The 18,618-nt window shown below is 36.3% G+C and overlaps 1 long non-coding RNA gene across 3 annotated transcripts in view, besides 1 other annotated feature; it reads right to left on the reverse strand.

Moving 5' to 3' along the window:
* The window catches only part of LOC105370777 (uncharacterized), a 556,255-nt gene that overhangs the window by 190,513 nt on the left and 347,124 nt on the right, over nt 1–18,618 (reverse strand). For all 3 annotated transcript variants that reach the window (XR_007064588.1, XR_007064587.1, XR_007064586.1), the window contains one exon: nt 16,185–16,290. This is a non-coding gene — a long non-coding RNA (uncharacterized LOC105370777). The remainder of the gene's footprint in view (nt 1–16,184; nt 16,291–18,618) is intronic.
* Nucleotides 6,596–7,148: an enhancer, noted in NCBI's record as "OCT4-NANOG hESC enhancer chr15:39354115-39354667 (GRCh37/hg19 assembly coordinates)". NCBI's record gives its function as "activates a minimal SCP1, AML or CMV promoter by ChIP-STARR-seq in naive and primed H9 embryonic stem cells {active_cell/tissue: H9 hESC(naive and primed)}" and the evidence as "EXISTENCE:reporter gene assay evidence [ECO:0000049][PMID:30033119]".

The following is an 18,618-nucleotide window of genomic DNA, read 5'->3' on the forward strand; positions in this document are numbered from 1 at the left end:
TAAAGGGCTTGGAACAGTGCCTAGGCTATAGACAACAGTTATTGTGTTTGCTATTCCCACCTTATGTTTCATTATGTTTTAACATCTTGCCATTATTGCCTCAGATTTTTTAAGGAAATCAAAATACCAAGACACTTGAAGCCCCTGTTTGTCCCTCCTTGATCTTTCCCCTTCTTCCTTTTCTCCCTCCTCTCACTGCTCCAACTTGTCCCTTGCTTTCTCATTCTCATTTCCACCTTCTGCAGAGAAAACTACTGCCCTGATTTTGTGTGTTATTGTAGCTTCCATATGTTTGCATCATATTGTTCTAGCTTATAGAATTCCCAACAAATATTTAGTGTAGTTTTCCTTATTTATAAATATGTATATGTATCATTGTATAATTTCCTTTTTCATGCCGTATGTTTTTGAGATTCATCTATTTTTTCTTTACATAACTGCAGTTTATTCATTTTAGCTGCTCTATAGTATTCACTGCATAAATATGTATTATCTATTCTGTTTGACGAACATTGGGGTTTTTCTAGTTGTTTATTATTATAGATCTTCTGCATTGAATATATACAGGTTTTCTTGTGTACATATGTAAAAGTTTTTAACGCAGTGGCTTAATATACATGTGTACTCATGCACATACACACACTTAGACATATACTGAAACCAAACATTTATAAAACAACTTCTTACTGTTTTGCTATTTTTACTATTTTCTATTCATTTACTGTTTTCATTTCATTCTTGTTCATTCTATCTTATTCTAAAAATAAGATGTAGGTTGTGACTCATCAAACTAATTTCCCATTTCACTAATGAGTCTAAACTGATTGTTTGAGTTATATTGCTTTAGGTTTCATACTCAAAGATGAATTCCTGAATCAAATAGTGTATGGATCTTCTCCTTTACTTCTATTGCTTCCCCAAATATCCCCAGAAAAGAAAACAAAAACACTACCCCCAAAGCGAAGACAAAAACAAAAACTACTGTTGATAAACAAATCTCAGTTTACTAGGCCCATTGCAATAAGAAAGAACGTTCTCATGGCCAAGTCTTAATAGTGCCTCAAGACAGTGAATTAAGAAGAAGCTATTTATAGAGTTTTATGACCTGGGTTAGGTGATTTTAAGATAGAATTTCTATGTCAGGGAATTAAGTAGCCTTTATGACATAAAAGCTTTGGATTGGTGGGCACAGTGAGGTGAGGCTCTTGAAGCAAGCCTTGATGAGCAAGCTACTAGTCTTGATAAGTAAGCTATTTTTGTAGCCTCACAACTTTATCTTCCAGGAGCAAATATTTCCCAGAGCAAGTAGCTAAGTATTGTTTCACAAAGAGGCAGAAAAGTATGTCTTATCTCAGACTTGTCTGACACAAGGACAGAAAAGAGGGAATCAGGTTGGATTTAGTTCTCACTATACAATGCCAAATATTCTCCAAAGCGGTTGTGCCCATTTAAAAATCCCACCATAATTAACCATGTTCTCATCAAGATTTAGTATTGTCTTTTTAAAAATTTTGCCATTCTGAAAGTCTAAAATATCATACTATCTCATCATTTTATTTCATATTTCCTTGATTACTAGTGAGATTTTTTTTATTTTTCCATGTGATTATCGGTCATTTGAGTTTTTTCTTTGGTAAATGGCCTGTTCATATCCTTCAACAATTTTTCTAGTTTGTTTAGCTATAGTTTGTTTAGCCTTAGTTTCTAGTTGTCTAGCTCTCTTTTTCTTATTGTGTTAGTTCTATATATTCTGCATAATATTTTGGTAAATATAAGTAAATATTTCAATCTGGCCTTCATAATTTATCTTAATATTCGATGTCTTTTGTTAAAGTGTTAAAGTTAAATGTAGGAAAATTAATCATTTTTATGCTTTGTGCTTTTGGTTTATTTCAGAAATTCTTAAAAATGTTTTTCTCTATTTTTATTCATATATATTAAAAATTTTTGTTCCATATTTACATCTTTAAACTGTCTACCTTCTGCAGAGCAACAGAAATAATCAGCAGAGTAAACAGACAAACCACAGAGTGGGAGAAAATATTAACAAATTATGAACCTGACGAAGGACTAATATCCAGAATCTACCAGAAACTCAAATCAGCAAGAAAAAAAAAACAACCCCATCAAAAAGTGGGCAAAGGACATGAATAGACAATTCTCAAAAGAAGATATACAAATGGCCAACAAACATATGAAAATGTGCCCAACATCAGTAATTATCAGGGAAATGCAAATTAAAACCACAATGAGATACCACCTTACTCCTGCAAGAATGGTCATAATTTAAAAATTAAAAAGTAATAGATGTTGGCATGGATGTGATGAAAAGGGAACACTTTTATGCGCTGGTGGGAATGTAAACTAGTACAGCCATTATGGAAAACAGTATGGAGTTCCTTAAACAACTAAAAGTAGAACTACCATTGGATCCAGCAATCCCACTACTGAGTATCTACCTAAGGGAAAGAAGTCATTATATGAAAAAAACACTTGCACACGCATGTTTATAGCAGCACATTTCACAATTGCAAAACTATGGAACCAACCTGAATGCCCATCAACCAATGAGTGGATAAAGAAAATGTGGTATCTATACACCATTGAATACTACTCAGCATAAAAGGGAATGAAATAATGGCATCTGCAGCAATCTAGATGGAGTTGGAGACCATTTTTCTAAGGAAAGTAACTCAGGGATGGAAAACCAAATATTTTATGTTTTTACTTGCAAGTGGGAGCTAAGCTATGAGGATGCAAAGGCCTAAGAATGATACAATGGACTTCGGGTACTCAGGGGGAAGGGTGGGAGAGGGGTGAGGAATAAAAGACTACACATTGGTTATAGTGTATACTGCTTGGGTGACAGGTGCACCAACATCTCAGAAATCACCACTAAAGAACTTATCCATGGAACTAAAAACCACCTGTTCCCCAAAAACTGTTGAAATAAAAATAAACTGTCTAGCATTAATTTTTCTGTGTAGGAAAAAATAAAGTCTTTTAATGAAGTATTGTCACAGTAATATTGCTTAAGACAATCCACAACATCAGTGAGTTGTAACGAAAAAGAATTATTTATATTTTAAACACCTTTGGTTTGACTAGAGCTTGGCTGATGTTGGCTGTGCTCAGCTGAGTTTGGATACAGACTTTGTGTGAAGTTGGCTTCACACATTTGCCATAATTCTGGCAGCAGTAGGCTACCCAGGACAAAGGCATAAATGAAAGCGAGCAAGTCCAAACTCATTAGAACACTTCAAGTCTTGATTATGTGACATCTGCTGACATTCTAATGGCCAAAACAGGACACATGGACGAGCTCAGAATCAGTGGAATAGGGAAATATGTGCTGCCTCTAGTAGGAAGAACTGCAGTGTCCTATTAGCAATGGGTGTGGTTGCAGGGAGGGGTGAAATATTGGGACCAATAATGAAATTTACCACAGGCTATGCTCTTAGTTACAATAACATTTTATACAAAGTTCACTCAATCCCTTTCTATTATACCCGCAAAAGACTCATTCAAAGCATTAGGCTCTAAAGCAAGAACCTAATTATCGATGTTGGGTCTGGATGCAACTCCAGAACTAAAAAGACAAGTTATCTGCCTCCCACACACCCAGCAATGATGAAACATGGGAAGAATAACTGCAATGAACTCTCCCATTCACAAAAAGAAAATAACACATAGCAGCCACTGGCTTATAGCGATTTTGAATACTACTGAACAAATATGGCCAAGTACTTTTTTTTTTTTTTTTTTTTTTTTTTGAGGCTAGGGAATATATCTTCACTAGGTTCTAGTTTGAAACTGGAATGGCTCTCCAGCCCATATTTTCCCTGTGGTGCTTGGTTGTGCCCTCTCTTTTTTTTCCATCTTTTTAAATCACTTCTGAAGAAGGCATTGAGTATATTTCATTCTTAGCAACTTAGCAGTTTTATCAGTCTACTTCCTGCCTGCAGAAAGTTGAGGTCTAGGAGTACTTTTTTTTTTTTCATCTTAGTTACTATTAGTCTCCTTTTACTCAGGCTGAAGGATGACACTTTTGTCAGGATAAATATCTCATACTATTTTGTTTTATTCTCTTCAATCCCATGGGCTAAAAGCTACATCCACAATACTATTTAGACTTGCACCTTCTCTTGAGACCTAATTACAGAGAGTTTGGGCATATCAAGCTTCTGTGGGACATACCCTTAATCTTTCTAGGAACACTTTGGCAGAGCAGAACTTTTTTCAGAAGTCATCACAAGGGATTTTAGTAGCCAAAATCTTAGTATGTCCTTTACCTTGAGGCCATGTCTTACTGATAGTGTCCTGGGTTTGGTCTTTTCCTTGAGTCTATGTCATAATGGTCACACCATTGACTTGAAAATTGTTTCCCATTCCAACATTTCAAGTGCTTTTTTGAGTCACTCAATCCTTCATAAATTCAGTTTGCACCTCAGCCAATTAATTTTCAGCTCTCTTCTAATATCTCGTTAAAGGCAGCTGGCAGCAGTCAGCTTACCACTGCAATATTCTGCCTTAAAACCTTGAAGTTCATTATGTTAATAGCAAACAATACTTTCATTAAATATTTTCCACTCTGTAACACAGGTTGCCATTTATCAGCATCATATAGCAGTTTTCTAACTACCAGTTCCCAATGCTTATGCCCTACCTCTTTTACCAATTTTTGGCTTAGTCAACCATTCCCACAATAATCATAACAAACTCTTCAGCTCCTGAAATAGCTTTGGAGCTATAACGGTGACAGGAGCATCTTTTGTTACTCATAACAAGTTCCTTTCAACCACATCTGAGTTTATATTAGTGAAGTAACTTTTAGAAAGCTCCTAAGGATGAGGGGCTGGTTGCCAGTGTAACATCACCCATGCGATCAGAGGGCTGCAACTTTCAGCCCCACCCCCGGACCTCCAGGGAAGAGAGAAACTGGAGGCCGAGTTAATCACCATTGGCCAATGATTTAACAAATCATTCCTATGTCATGAAGCCTACAGTAAAAACCCTAATGGAAGGGGTTCCAGGTTGCTGGAAGTGTGGCACCCCAGAGAGGGCATGTAACCCCCTTGCCAATACTTTGCCCTAGGCATCTCTTCCATCTGGCTGTTCTTGAGTTTTATCTTTTATAATAAAACATTAGAAAGGAAGCCTTAGAAAGGTAAATGCAAGTAAAGTAACTTCCCTAACTTTTGTGAGACAATCTAGCAAATTACCAAACCCAAGGAGGGGGTTGTAGGAAGCCCTGATTTATAGCCAGTTGGTCAAAAATACAGGTTACAACCTAGGACTTACAACTGGCATCTGAAGCGGTGGGCAGCTGTGTGGGACTGAGCTTTCTAACTTGTGATGGAGCTGATGCTAACTCCAGGTGGACAGCGTTAGAATGAATTGAATTAGATTGTAGGACACCCAGTTGGTATGACAGAGAATTGAGGAATTGCTTAATGGGAGAGAAAAACCCAGACACTTGGGTGTCAGATGTGAAATATTGAGAATAGAAAAACAGAGTGTTTCCCTTTCCTCTATTTGCTAGGCATCCAGTAGGCTACCTTTCTTAATAGCTTCCTTTCTAATGTCATTGACTTAGGGCTCTTAAGTGAGTTCTAGCCAATGGAATGTGACTGACAGTAATGCATGAGACTTCCAGGTCCACACACAAAAATATTCTAATGCCCAATTATCCATTCTTTCTTTCCTACTCACTTGGTGAACCAAAGCAAAATGAAATTGGGAGTAATGTATTGAAGATGAAGGAGACTCAAGATAAAAAAAAGCTTAGGTTCCTGAATCACCATTGAAAGAAGTGCTGCCACTGATGAAACACTCACTGTGGGCTGTTCATGAGACCATGTTTTTTTAATTTATGTATTTATTTTGCTCTTTCTATGTTGTTTTGTAAACAGAATGTAGCTGGAAATTCAATCTGATCTTTTATTTTCTTATAATATTGAGATTTACCCACTTTTATTTATTGGATTTTTAATATATTTGCAATTATTTATCCCATCATATTACACTTTTAGATGCCTTTTTTATTTGCCTCTTTTGTCTCCATTTTGCATGTTGTTCACTTATTTACATTGTGTATATTTCCAATCGCTAAAATAATAGATAAAAATTCCATTGCCTCCAAACCAACAGGTGAAAAGTAGCAGCATTTTCTCAGTGCAATTTGAAATTGTTTTCAATGCAATGAAATTGTTTTCCATTATTTTAGTAGTTACTTTTAAATATTTAAACAGATTTGCTTCAATATAAATTTGTGCAACAAGGCCTACAATTAATCAGCCTTTGTCTTTTTCTACTAATCACAATAGAGAGCTTTACATACTAAAACTACATATTTAAAACTAAATGTCCCTCCCTGCAGCAACACATTTTAGCTTTTCTCTTCATATTACAAAAATTTACTTTTTAGCAACAGTGTGTTAATTAGAATTACTTGTTTTATCAATTTCTGCCTATTGTTTTTTATCATGTGGTTTCCCTGGTTTCACATTCCTTCTGGCTTAACTTTATCTTTTAATAGTACTTTTAGTGAGGGCTATGGATGGTAAGTTATTGTGTTTGTATGTAGGAGATTGGTCAGGGTGGTGGGAAAAATTATAGGGAAAGACAAAAACCTTCTTGGAAGGCTGGGAGGTTTTGCAAAAGCTTGGAAAGAGAATTTAGCTGAAGGCAGTTAAATTCTCTTAAGGGCAAAGGGTAGATAACAAGGGAATGTAAAGAAACTTATCTAAATAAATTGATTTAGTTATGTCTCCGGAAACCAACCTTTGATCATTCGCATGCAGGACTGCTGTCTACTCAGGGGGTCGACAATGTTAATTGCCCACAAATTGTGTTTGCTCCAAGCCTTTGTCATTAAATCTGTACTAAATAAATAAATAACGGCTCAGGCTTATTGTGGCTGCACTCTCATCAGTGGTGCTAAGTGGTGCAGTCCCCTAGCCACACTGTCAGGTAAAATACCTGTGTCTGCGTACTCCTTTCATCCATCACTCGACCAGAGTCTGCAGGATGGACCCAGCATTTGTATACATAGTATGTTTTTATTTTATGCCATTATTTAGCCTTTGCTCTTTAATGATAGTTCATTTGTATATACAATTCTACATTGCCAGTTATTTTTCTTCTGCACTTTGGAGCTATTATCTTACTGTATTTTGGCATCTATCATTGCCAGTAAAAAACCTGTCTCATGTGTGAAGGTTATCCCTTTATTAGTAATCTGTCTTTTCCTGTCTGGCAACTTTTAAAGAATTCTCCCTGCCACTGCTTTCCTATAGTTTCACAAGAATGTACCTTGATGTGGATTTATTTTTATTGATATTGGTACTTAACGTGTACTTTTGCTATGAAGGTTAACATTTTTTAATTCTCTTTAATTATAGAAAAATTGAAGCTACTATCTCTTTGGGTGTTACTTCCCTCCGTTTATTTTATTATTTTCTTCTGGAATTCCTATTAGATGTATGCTGTAGCCTCTTCATCCACCCTTGTTTCCTCTTTATTCCTTCTTCCTATTCTTCATCTTTTTGTTTCCTCATCTTCACTGTTAGTGATGTCTTCAATATAACTTACTCTTATGTATGCAACGTAGAGTTTAACCAACTTATCAAGTACTTTTAAGTCAATAACTATATACTATTTCATACTATTTCATCCCGATTTCTAATTAGATCTTCCTATATTCATCTCTTCTTCTTAAATTTCTCTGTTTGATTCATAAACTTTTGATCATCTTAAAATATTTCTTTCACCTAATTCTCAGAGTACTCTGTGTGTTAAAGTCTTTGTCAAACTGCTACACAAAATTAATTTCACCCGAAATGAAATATTCTTATGGTTACATTTGTTTGTTTTTCTTAACATTAGATGTTTTAATGTATTTTGGAATTTTGCTGTTTGTGTAATTTGGGGAGGACATTTTGTATGTGTCTTTTTACTTTCTGCCTTCTAGTTAAACTCTAGACTAGATAAAGACAATAAGTTAGTATTGAGGATATTACTATCCCTGGTTAGAGATTGTGCAGTTATTTCCACTCATTATGTGGGTTTGCCATAATGGCATTTTGGGGCCGTTGTGAGACCATCTCCATTGTGTGGATTATGATGATATCACAGATCCAGTCACTAAGCAGTGGGATTCGGTGTCCCATTTACTAATCACTGTCTGGTTTGTTACGCTCTGCTCTTGTCTTCCAGCAATGATAGGCCTGTAGCTTGCTCAAAGCTGCAGACTCATGCTGGTCTAGTATTACTTCCATCTTCTGAGTACAGAATGACTTCAAGCACCTTCAAGGGTAGTGTTTCCCTGACCTGCATGAAGCAGTTTTAATCTTGTGTATCCTGCAGGAGCTAAGGTCCTACTATCATCACTCACTGCAGACTCAGAGCCCAGCACATCTGAGACTTCAGCCTTACACATGGATTTTAGGTTTCAGTTCTGTTTCTGGTCCCCAGAGTCCTCTCTTGTTTCTCAGTTTATTTATATTGTTTTTGTTGGCTATTTATATATTATTATTGTGTGTTTCGAGTGGAGGAGATGCATTATGTTTCTAATTTACTGTAGAAAATTTGGCTACGAGTTCATAATGTTTAATTTTTCTGAAAAAAAAAATCTAGCATTTCATTAATTGCTTTATTCCCCTGCCTTCCTTAAAGGCTACACGCTACCTTCCTCACCTATCTAAATATTGTTTTGAGGAAATTACAAAGAATAAGCAGGAAAGGGAAACACAGCCAGTAGGAAACAAGTAGAGCAGTAAGTATGAAGCTGGCCATAAAAGTGATCTGATAACTTGTGCATTTAATATTTTTCTCTAGGACATTGAGTTCCATTCGTACCTGTACTCTGGGGGACCCTATTATCTCTGGAGCCTGCCAAATGGAACTTAACATGATAATGTAATATTTACTGCTTGTTCCTAATTGCATGTCTTTGAAGAAACTGGAACACTGCATAGGAACATCACTGTTTATTCCTCTAGCATACAAATGGGACTGTTTAACTTGTCCTTTCTAAGAACTCTCTGGTGAGGTTGCACACTCTCCAGCTGTGTCTGTCATGTCCTACTCCTTAGCTGGGTAAGTGTGTGCACCAGGGGTAGGGTATGGGTCAGACGAGGACTTCCCCTGAACAGCTTTCTATTCCTTGGGCTGAAATTAAGGCCCTGAGAAAGACCACACATCTTTTCCTCAAATCATTGTTAGACACAAGTAGGACAATACCTTGAATTTAATTTATTTATCAACCTGTGGCTACATCAAAGCCCTTTGCTCCATAAAAATCCTGTTCCTATTCTTTCTCCCCTTTCATTACTGTCCTCCCACCTACTTTGTTTGAACTGATCATTTGGCTGTCTACTGACTGTAGAGAAAAACCATTATTTCTCCCATGAACTACTACAAAATCCCCAGAAATAGTCTGCCTACTTAAGTCAATTTATTTTCTCAAATATTTTTAAATTTTTTTACAAAAATTCAAAAATGTATTTAAATGCAGTGATATATGCAGATGATTAAAAATGAAACGGTAATGAGAGATATACAATGAAAGGCAGTATTCCCTAGCCCCACTGCACCTCTCCCCTAAAGACTTCTCTACAGAAACAATTTCTATCTTTAATGCTTATGGTGGTTATTTCAATGACTCTAAATATAGTGCTTTATAAAAACATAATTCAACTGAGCATTATCATTTCTCTATTGACATTTTGCCTTGACTGATGGTTGAGCCACCTTCCTGTCTCCTCTTCTGTCATTCCAGTTACATCACTAATCCCACTTCCACCAAACGGCATTCTTCAATCCTTGCTGCTTTATCTGTTCACTGTAGGCCAGCACTGTCCAGTAGAACTCTCTGTAATAATGGAAATGTGCGTATCCCCTCTTTTCAATATGGTAGCTCCTACCTCCAGGTGAATATTTAGCACTTGGAATCTGGCTAGTGTGACTTAGGAAAAATAGAATTTGAAATTGTACTTAATTTTAATTAATTTAAATTTAAGTAGCCACATGTGGCTAATAGTAGCTGCATTGGGCAGTGTAGCTACAAATGTCTCTGAACCATGATTTTGTTGAATGAAAAATTAGCTGTCTTCATTTCGTCTCACCTCTCCTCTCTCTTTCATTTTACAACCTTCATTATCTGTACCTTTACCATTTATATTGCCCAAATCAGAACTACCAGTGTGCTATCCATAAGTATAGTTAAACCTTCCATGGTATGTCGAAGGTCAGTCCTAATGCAGAACATTAAGAAACTATATTTATATTATTATGAATTTAGTTTCTTTCATAGCTTTCTTCACAATTTTTAATTTTTTGTTGATTTGTCTCTCTTGCTGAATTATACATCTAATGAAAGTGAGCATGTTGTCCACCTTTTTCAATATTATACCTTCAGAGCCCAACAGAATGATTATCACAAAAATAGATGTTTTGTGAATGTTGAATGGTTGATCATGTATTATTTATTCTTCTTCAAATATTTTAGTGCACCCTAATAGAATCAGTAAATGCTCCTCGAGTGAATTGGTGTTAATAGAAAATGTTTTCATTGTCATTTAGGGCAACTATTACTCCATGAAATATTTTATTTTTTTCTCTATATACATAATCTGTGATGGTGTTTCCAAATGATCTGAGTTGGAAATTCCTCTACTACTAACATATAATAATGAAAATAATCTAAAGAATCTAAAAAATTAGTTTGTTATTTTTGTGTGGTACGTGATGTAATTTTAAGTAAACATTTTATTTTTATAGTTAGCAAACTGTTGTATTATAAATCTCATTTTAATAACTGCTTAGTGATAGAGATAATATGTAGATTTTTAAATTAACGAGTAATACATATTCTTTAAATACATTTTGTAATATAAAATGTGATTTGAGATTATATTTTTTACAAATGACATATAATAGTTTATTTGAATTTAGGGTGAAAGTACATGTAAATATATATTGAAATTTAACAATGTGTTAAAAGATCAAAATTGGGGGAAATAATTTCGTGTTTCTTCTTTAAATTGTTTGCATTTTACACTTTGAAAATCCAATTGATATATAGATAGACAGATAGATAGATACGTGTGTTTATATATGTACGTACTCATACAATCTTCCTTTCAAATGTTAAGAGAACACATAAACACACACACATACATACATACTTACATACATATAATTTTCCTTTCAAATGTTAAGATAAAGGCCTTTCAAGATTTCAAGATGACATTGGTAGGTAATTCTTAGTAACTAATTGGTACAGGAACAGATAGTCTTTATTGCTAATAAGAAATCAATGTTTTTCATTATTGCTGTAATTGTTTTTTATCCAGCATTTTATTTTGAAATTCCAGATGTGCTATATAAGGATTTCTTTTTGGCAGAGAAATAAAAACTACAACCTTGGTGAATAGAAATGTGTATAGATGTTCATAGTTAGCATTTTTCCACTTTATTCATTAACTATATTTGAACATCATAATTCCACTTGCTTTCCTGTATTTACTCATGCTTTATGACTAACAGTCATAACGTTTAAAACCATCGAGGGCTAATAGGCTGAGAAAAGCAATAAACAGTTTGAGCTGTGAATGAGTTATAAAGCTCTCTTTCCTGATCACTATTGACTATTGCCCATACACAATACACAGTCAGACCTCCTAAGCTACAATATTAAAAAATGCCAAAATAATTATATTATTTATTGATATAAAAATCGAAAGTGGTGCCATTATTAAAAAGGCAAATCTCCTGGAACATCTTTTCAAATGGTTGGGTGTTTCTGAATCATAAGTGGGAACTACCATGTCATGGTATTCCATGATTGATTTAAAAACTAACTCCTTTATTCATTATATATGAATGATTCCATAAAAGAGACAATTCTATAGCATGACATTTAACAAACCAAATCCTGATATAGTACATAACTGGATTGGATCTGCATGTTTACCTATGTACTGTGGGATTTGTCTTTTATGAGTTACCAGTTCAGAGACTAGTTCATCTTTGGTTGTATAGGATGTTAGGATCTCAGTTGGCATTCACAGTTAAATCATGCACCTTCAGGAACTGGGAGCATTTTGATCCAGAGTCACAATCATTCCTTTCTTATCTTCATCCCTATGGTATGTGTGTTCTGAAGTTTAACTGACAGATGGCAGCTGGTACCAGATATTATATTTTAAATATTATTAGCTGTGTGTGAACTGCTGGTTTGCACTAAGCAGATCCCTCAGAGGTTCAGAGACACTGTCAGGTTATGCTAACATGTTGCCCACACAATTAGGCAAACAACTCATTTTCATATAAACTGACTTGTCATCAACTAAAAGCTCAACAGCAGGTTTGACTGAAGATTTGTTTCACTGGAAGGCATAACATTCCACCTTCTTCTCATGGGTCCTTCTTGTCTCAGGCTCTTGTCTTGTACATGGAACCACACTGCACGGCACCCTGGCTGTTTCTGCCCTGCACAAACAGTGCCTATCTTTGGATTTCTTTCCTTTCAGAATTATCTGAACTTCATTACCCTGGGTAACTCATCCCTTGGGTCTCTATGTGTTCTCAACCAGCAGTGCTGTGACAAGTCAAATTTGCTAGGAAGATAATGGATAACAGCATCCAATGGCACTGCTGTATCTAAAACACTGCGTCCCTGGTTACCGAATTTCATTCCGGTGGCAGGTAAGGGAAATGAAGGTTTGGATCATGGTGTCTTCCCTAGTACTGACAACACTATTGTAAACACTCTGTTCTCCCCATGAATAGGGTCAATCTTACCTAAGTTCCTATAGTAGGAATGGCACATTTAACATGTCAGCTCTGACTTTCTGTGGCTGCTACCCTAAGTATTATGAGCCTATGTCATGCTCGTTAGGAAAAGTGCTGTCAGCAGTGTCTGAGTATGGGGAGGGGGAGATTACTTGCCAAACTTTGAAATCTCTGTTCTAAATAGTGTAGTTAAATACGTGTCATAATTTTGTTCATATAGTGCAGTCTACATTTGCTAAAGCTGTGTTGCCTTTGAAACTGACATGTAATGATTCCCTCTGGGAATTTAATAGCTAAATTCATTTTTGTTTGGTCTATAATGGGCTTTTCCACTCTATTTATAATAAACAACATCAATGCAACTTTTTTTCAAGAGAAGGGTGGGATGGAGAGGTTAAGTGACAATATTGATGATGATCCTTTGTCAGGTAAACTCCCTTTAGATGAAACATCATGAAAAACTTTGTAACAGTACCATCGAGTCAATGCTGTCTTTAAGGTCCAGCCCAGACATGAGCAATAGCCATGAAATTCATGTTTGCCCACATACTTTGGTCACCATTGCTCTTTGCCCACCTAATGAAGAGCAGATGCATAGAAAGCATGGCTTGATTTTAATCATGGTTTAGGATCTATTCTACTGCTATTTGGTGTTGGATTTTAATTGGATAGTGGCAAACGAGCTGGTAAAGAAAGATTCTCAGTCTGAATATTTTCTAAGTGGCAAAATCTGTCACTTTTCTGCTCTTTCTGCTAAAATGTAACTGTTCAGTTTCTTCATTCTCTTTTCTTCTAATATGTGTTACAAACCAAATCCTGACCTGGTACCTAACTGAAGAATATAGGCAGTTTTAAAGTCTTCACTTTTTGACTTGGGATTGGATGTGCATGTTTACCTATGTACTGCGGAATTTGTCTTTTATGAGTTACCAGTTCAGAGACCAGTTCATCTTTGATTGTATAGGCAGTTATACATTCGACCTTACTTTAATATTACTGGGAAATAACTTCTGTGTTTTGGCTGAATCAGTGATAGATATACAGATGTAATAATCAGAAGGCAAACCACAAAGCAACTTACTTTAAAAGGATAATCTAGATACCAAATCTCAGAAGAAATCATTTGGGAATCTGAACACTAGGGCCCCAAGTCAAAAACCATACAATTCTCTTGACTCTGTCTTGCTAAATCAGTCTGCAAGGGCCAACGTCTGATTTGCCTTCTTGGGCCTACTTCCATTAGTGTGGGAGGTCTTAGCAACATATTAGGACAACTGTTCAATGCATATCCCATGGAGTACAGAAAGGGGGAGCATCTGAATGTGTCCTAGGGAATAAAACTGGTAAAGGATACGCTTTGACTCTGCTGTCTCCTTTAGAGCCCCTGCCCCCCCTCAATAAATTCATTTTCTCTTTGATAGGTCTAAGAAATTCCCAGAGAAATGTCATGGTTTCTGATGAGGCTGAAAGATCTTACAGGTCTATGAAGGACATAAGATATAATCCTTAACTCTCAAAGAGGGTTGAATAGCGTCCCCACAAGATTCATATCCACCTGGAAACTCAGAATGTGACCTTATTTGGAAATAAGGTATTTGTAGAGATAATCAATTAAGGATGAAGATGAGATCCTACTGGAATTAAGGTAGATCCTAAGACCAAAGACTGCTATCTTTGTAAAAAAAAAAAAAAAAAAAAAAAAAAAAAGTAGAGCCCATGCACAGAATAAGGCCATGTGAAAACAGAGACAAAGATTGTAGAGATGCAGCTGTAAGAAGCACCAAGGGTTCCCGGAGGCCACCAGCAAAGCTAGGAAAAGACAAGGAAGGAGTCTTTCCTAGAGCCTGTAGAGGGAGGCTGACCCCGCCCATAACTTGATTTTGAACTTCAAGTCTCCAGAATTCTTAAAGAATAAATTTCTGTGGTTTTTAAGTCTGTGATAACTTACGGCAGCCCTGGGAAACTAACACAATCATCTGGTTGGAGTCTCCTTCCTCTGGATTTTGGGACCCTGCTTTCATCCAACTTCCCACCTACCTTTCTAGCCACCCCTCACTTTCTTCTGCCATTCCTTTTCCTCTACCCACAGCTTAAATGATGGCACTCCTCAGAATTCTGTCCTTGGATTTTCTCACTGTACATTCCCTTGGTAATCTTATCCAATCTCATAGTTTTAAACTCCACTTCTCAGTTCACACACATAAAGCTACAATCAGACCTCTCTCTTTAGAGTGACTTTTAATGTCTTATTAGATATCAACAACTGATGTCAAAAATACATACTTAAAACTCATTTTTAAACTCCCTTTCTATTCTTTATTATTCTCCTTTACTTTTCCTTCTACCCCTCATCCTTTATTTCCTATATATTTTCATGCATCACTTTTGATCCAATGACAAATTACAAAAGTCAAAAACCTGAGTCATCCGAGAACCCCTATCCCCCACTTCCTGCTTATTGCCAATGTCTTAGCAAGCCCTGTTTGTTTTATTATTTGAAACTGCCCTGAATCCACCATCTTCCTAGATCAGGTCCTTAGCAACTTTGTCTTACCTGCTTGGCGTGGTTTTCCATCAATCTAACCGCTCTCTAAACCATCCCATAACGCTGCAATTGTCACCGTATTTCTAAAATCTAACTATGATAGAATATTTCCCTGCTTAGAATCCTTCAAGGGCTCTCAATTACCCAAAGGTTCAAACCACTTAGAATGGCTTGGCCATCTTCATGTCCCACTATTTCCCCATCTTCTAATTGGACTGTGGTCATATCAAACAGCCTTCCATTCTCTGAATGTGCACTGGACTTTCAAACATCTCCAGGCCCCTGTTAGTTCTGTTCTAGCTTTTGAAATGCCCTTCCTCCTTCCCATGTTTATTTGGCTCCCTCCTGTTTCTTCCAGACTCTTGATGTCTCCCAGAAGGCTTCACTTCCCCATTCCATTGTGAATGCCCCTCTCCTGGGTTACCACAGCTCCCTACACAAGCCCTTACCTCCCTTCCTTGCATTGGTCATTTCTGACCTGCAAGTCTCACCAGACTATGAGGTCCATGAGATAGAGATAGTGATCAATTTACAGTCAATGAATATTTTAGAAATAATGAGAAATAAGGAACATATATTAAAATATTTAACAAATATACAGTAGTCTATGTGTCAGTGTAATAATATAGTATAATAAAATAATAAGTTTAAGAGAAACATCAAAGGTTGCTGGGCTGGAATAAAGACTGGGAGAAGGTGAGACTTGATGTGGGCTTTGAAGAAACAGTAGGACTTAAATAAGTAGCTTGTGATATTCTAGACAAAATAAATAGAGTGAATTTGGCATTAGAATTCCATAAGCTGATGGATTTCAACTGCAACTGGCAGATAGTTTCTTTACCTTGACACTGGTGACTTTGAAGTGACAGGCTGGTATGATCTAATGTAGTTGTTAAGTCCATGAATGAAAGTGTTGTTCTTGGAGTGCTTCTGGTTACAGAAGATGTCTGAAAAAGGTAAAATAAGAAAAGAAAATTAAAAACAACAACAACAACAATCTTTCCAGTGAGGCAATGTTCAGAAGAGCCAGAATCTTAGCTCATGGGTTCAAATGCAACATGGATTTCCATGGGACATTTAAGTTACCCCTTAGCCTATTAAATTGCTTCCTCTATGAACCATGGAAAATGAAAACCAATTAGCATCAGTTGGGAAAGGGACTTGGGTTGGGAAAAGGACTTGAGAATTTCCTCTTGTGGTTTAATTCGGGTCTCAGAATAGCAGTACTGCAGGTTTGAGCATCCAATTTCATACTTTATATTCTATATTAAGCATCAAATGGAGCAAAATTTTAATTCCTTTGGATAAAACTGACAATACATCTAGGTGTTTGCTGTTGCTTCTCCCATTAAAAAAAGCTGCACTGGGGAGCAAGCATGTCGAAAGGGCTCTTATGGATGGCCTATTGCATGCCCTTGAAAGATGCGCATTGTGAAAAATATGAAATTGTTTCAGATTCCTCTCAAGTAACAATACAATTTAATCATACTTAGTCTCATCTAATACAAAGCCCTTTTTGCTGAATAAAGTCCTAGCAAGGCTCTAAGGATGTAAGACATAAACAAAGATGAAAGTACTTATCATAAAATTTGCATTTCATACATGGTAGAATCAGATGACTACATGAGAAGAGAAATAGCAACTTATTTCAATCCTGCCACTTCTCTTAAGTTCTGTTCCCAACGAACAAACTTTATAAGGATTTCCATGAATGGGCCAAGGAATATCAGACGACATAACTTTCAACAAGGTGAGTGAATGCAGACTAAGGGGTGAAGCAAAAATGTCCTTTTTCTTCATTTCTCTTTCAATCTTTTTTCTTCCTGGGAAACAGCTAGGCCTTCTATTTTTTTTTTAAGATAACATACAGATTATCTATATAAGAATTCAGTAGTTCTCATATTTATTATAAACAATAGAATCTACAAGGATTTTGCCTTGTCCATGAGTCAACTTTGTAAGTCATCTTTGTCTTTGATTTTCCAATAAGAATCCATTAAAAATCAATTCAGGCTGGGTGTGGTGGCTCACGCCTGTCATCCCAGCACTGTGGGAGGCCGAGGCAGGAGGATCACGAGGTCAAGAGATTGAGACCAGCCTGGCCAACACGGTGAAAACCCGTCTCTACTAAAAATACAAAAATTAGCTGGGTGTGGTGGCGGATGCCTGTAATCCCAGCTACTCAGGAGGCTAAGGCAGCACAATCACTTAAACCCAGGAGGTGGAGTTTACAGTGAGCCGAGATACTGCATGCCAGCCTGGCAAGAGAGCAAGACTCCATATCAAAAAACAAAAACAAACAAACAAAGAAACACAAAACAATCAATTCAGCAGGCCTCAAAGGAAATATCTGATGTAGTCTTTGATCTGATGGAATTTGGGGAGAAATATTTGATATGTTCCAAGGAAACCAGTAGAGGCAGAGTTAATTTCAGCTTCCCAGATATTAAATGTTTCTCACCAAATTTAAAATGTTTCTCTCAGATATAAAATGTTTCTCACCAAAACAATAATTTTGCCCCTAGTGAAGGAATCTGTTGTACGTTCAACACTTCTACATCTATGGGTGATTGTTATTTTATGGTTTCAGAATGTTTCTCCCTAACATGTAGGTGTCACATCTTACCATTCTTCAGTGATACGCAGGTACCTCCCCCTCCTTGAAACCTCTTGGCTACTACTATGTCAGCCCCTGCTCATTCTTCCATAGTACTGATTAGCTGCACCACACATTTTAGTATAATCTGGGATGCCCAGTGATCAAACCACCTAGGTCATTCTAGTGCATAAATTATTATTCCTATTTTACAAACAAAGAAAATGGTCTTAAACATCTCTCAAACCTAAGTTAGAAAATCAAATGCTGAAGAAGCATTAGGGCTTTTAGTGGTCACACTATTAGGGCTTTTATGGAGAGGAGATTTTGACATTTTCCTTCATTTTAATAAAAATAATCAAATTGTTTAAATCTCCATAAAATAAAAAAGCAGAACTTACAATAACATTTGTGCTGAATTAGGGTCTTTTGTTTTCATGCAGAAAATTTCTTTTCCACTGTATCATGTGAGAGAAACTTCACTATCTAGCAAAGCCCAGATTGTTGGAAATAGCTTGATTTCTGATTTTTTTTAACCACTGGGAGTGGGTGGAGGAGACTCCATATTAGTGTAGGATCAATCATGGCTGATGAGACTACAAATACTTGGTGATTGCTACCATTTTAATTAAAAGTCTGAACTCATTACATGGAGCAAAGAAACAGAAACTTTTAGAAA

This window comes from Homo sapiens, chromosome 15 (assembly GCF_000001405.40).
Source record: "Homo sapiens chromosome 15, GRCh38.p14 Primary Assembly".
In the NCBI taxonomy this organism is placed as follows: Eukaryota; Metazoa; Chordata; class Mammalia; order Primates; family Hominidae; genus Homo; species Homo sapiens.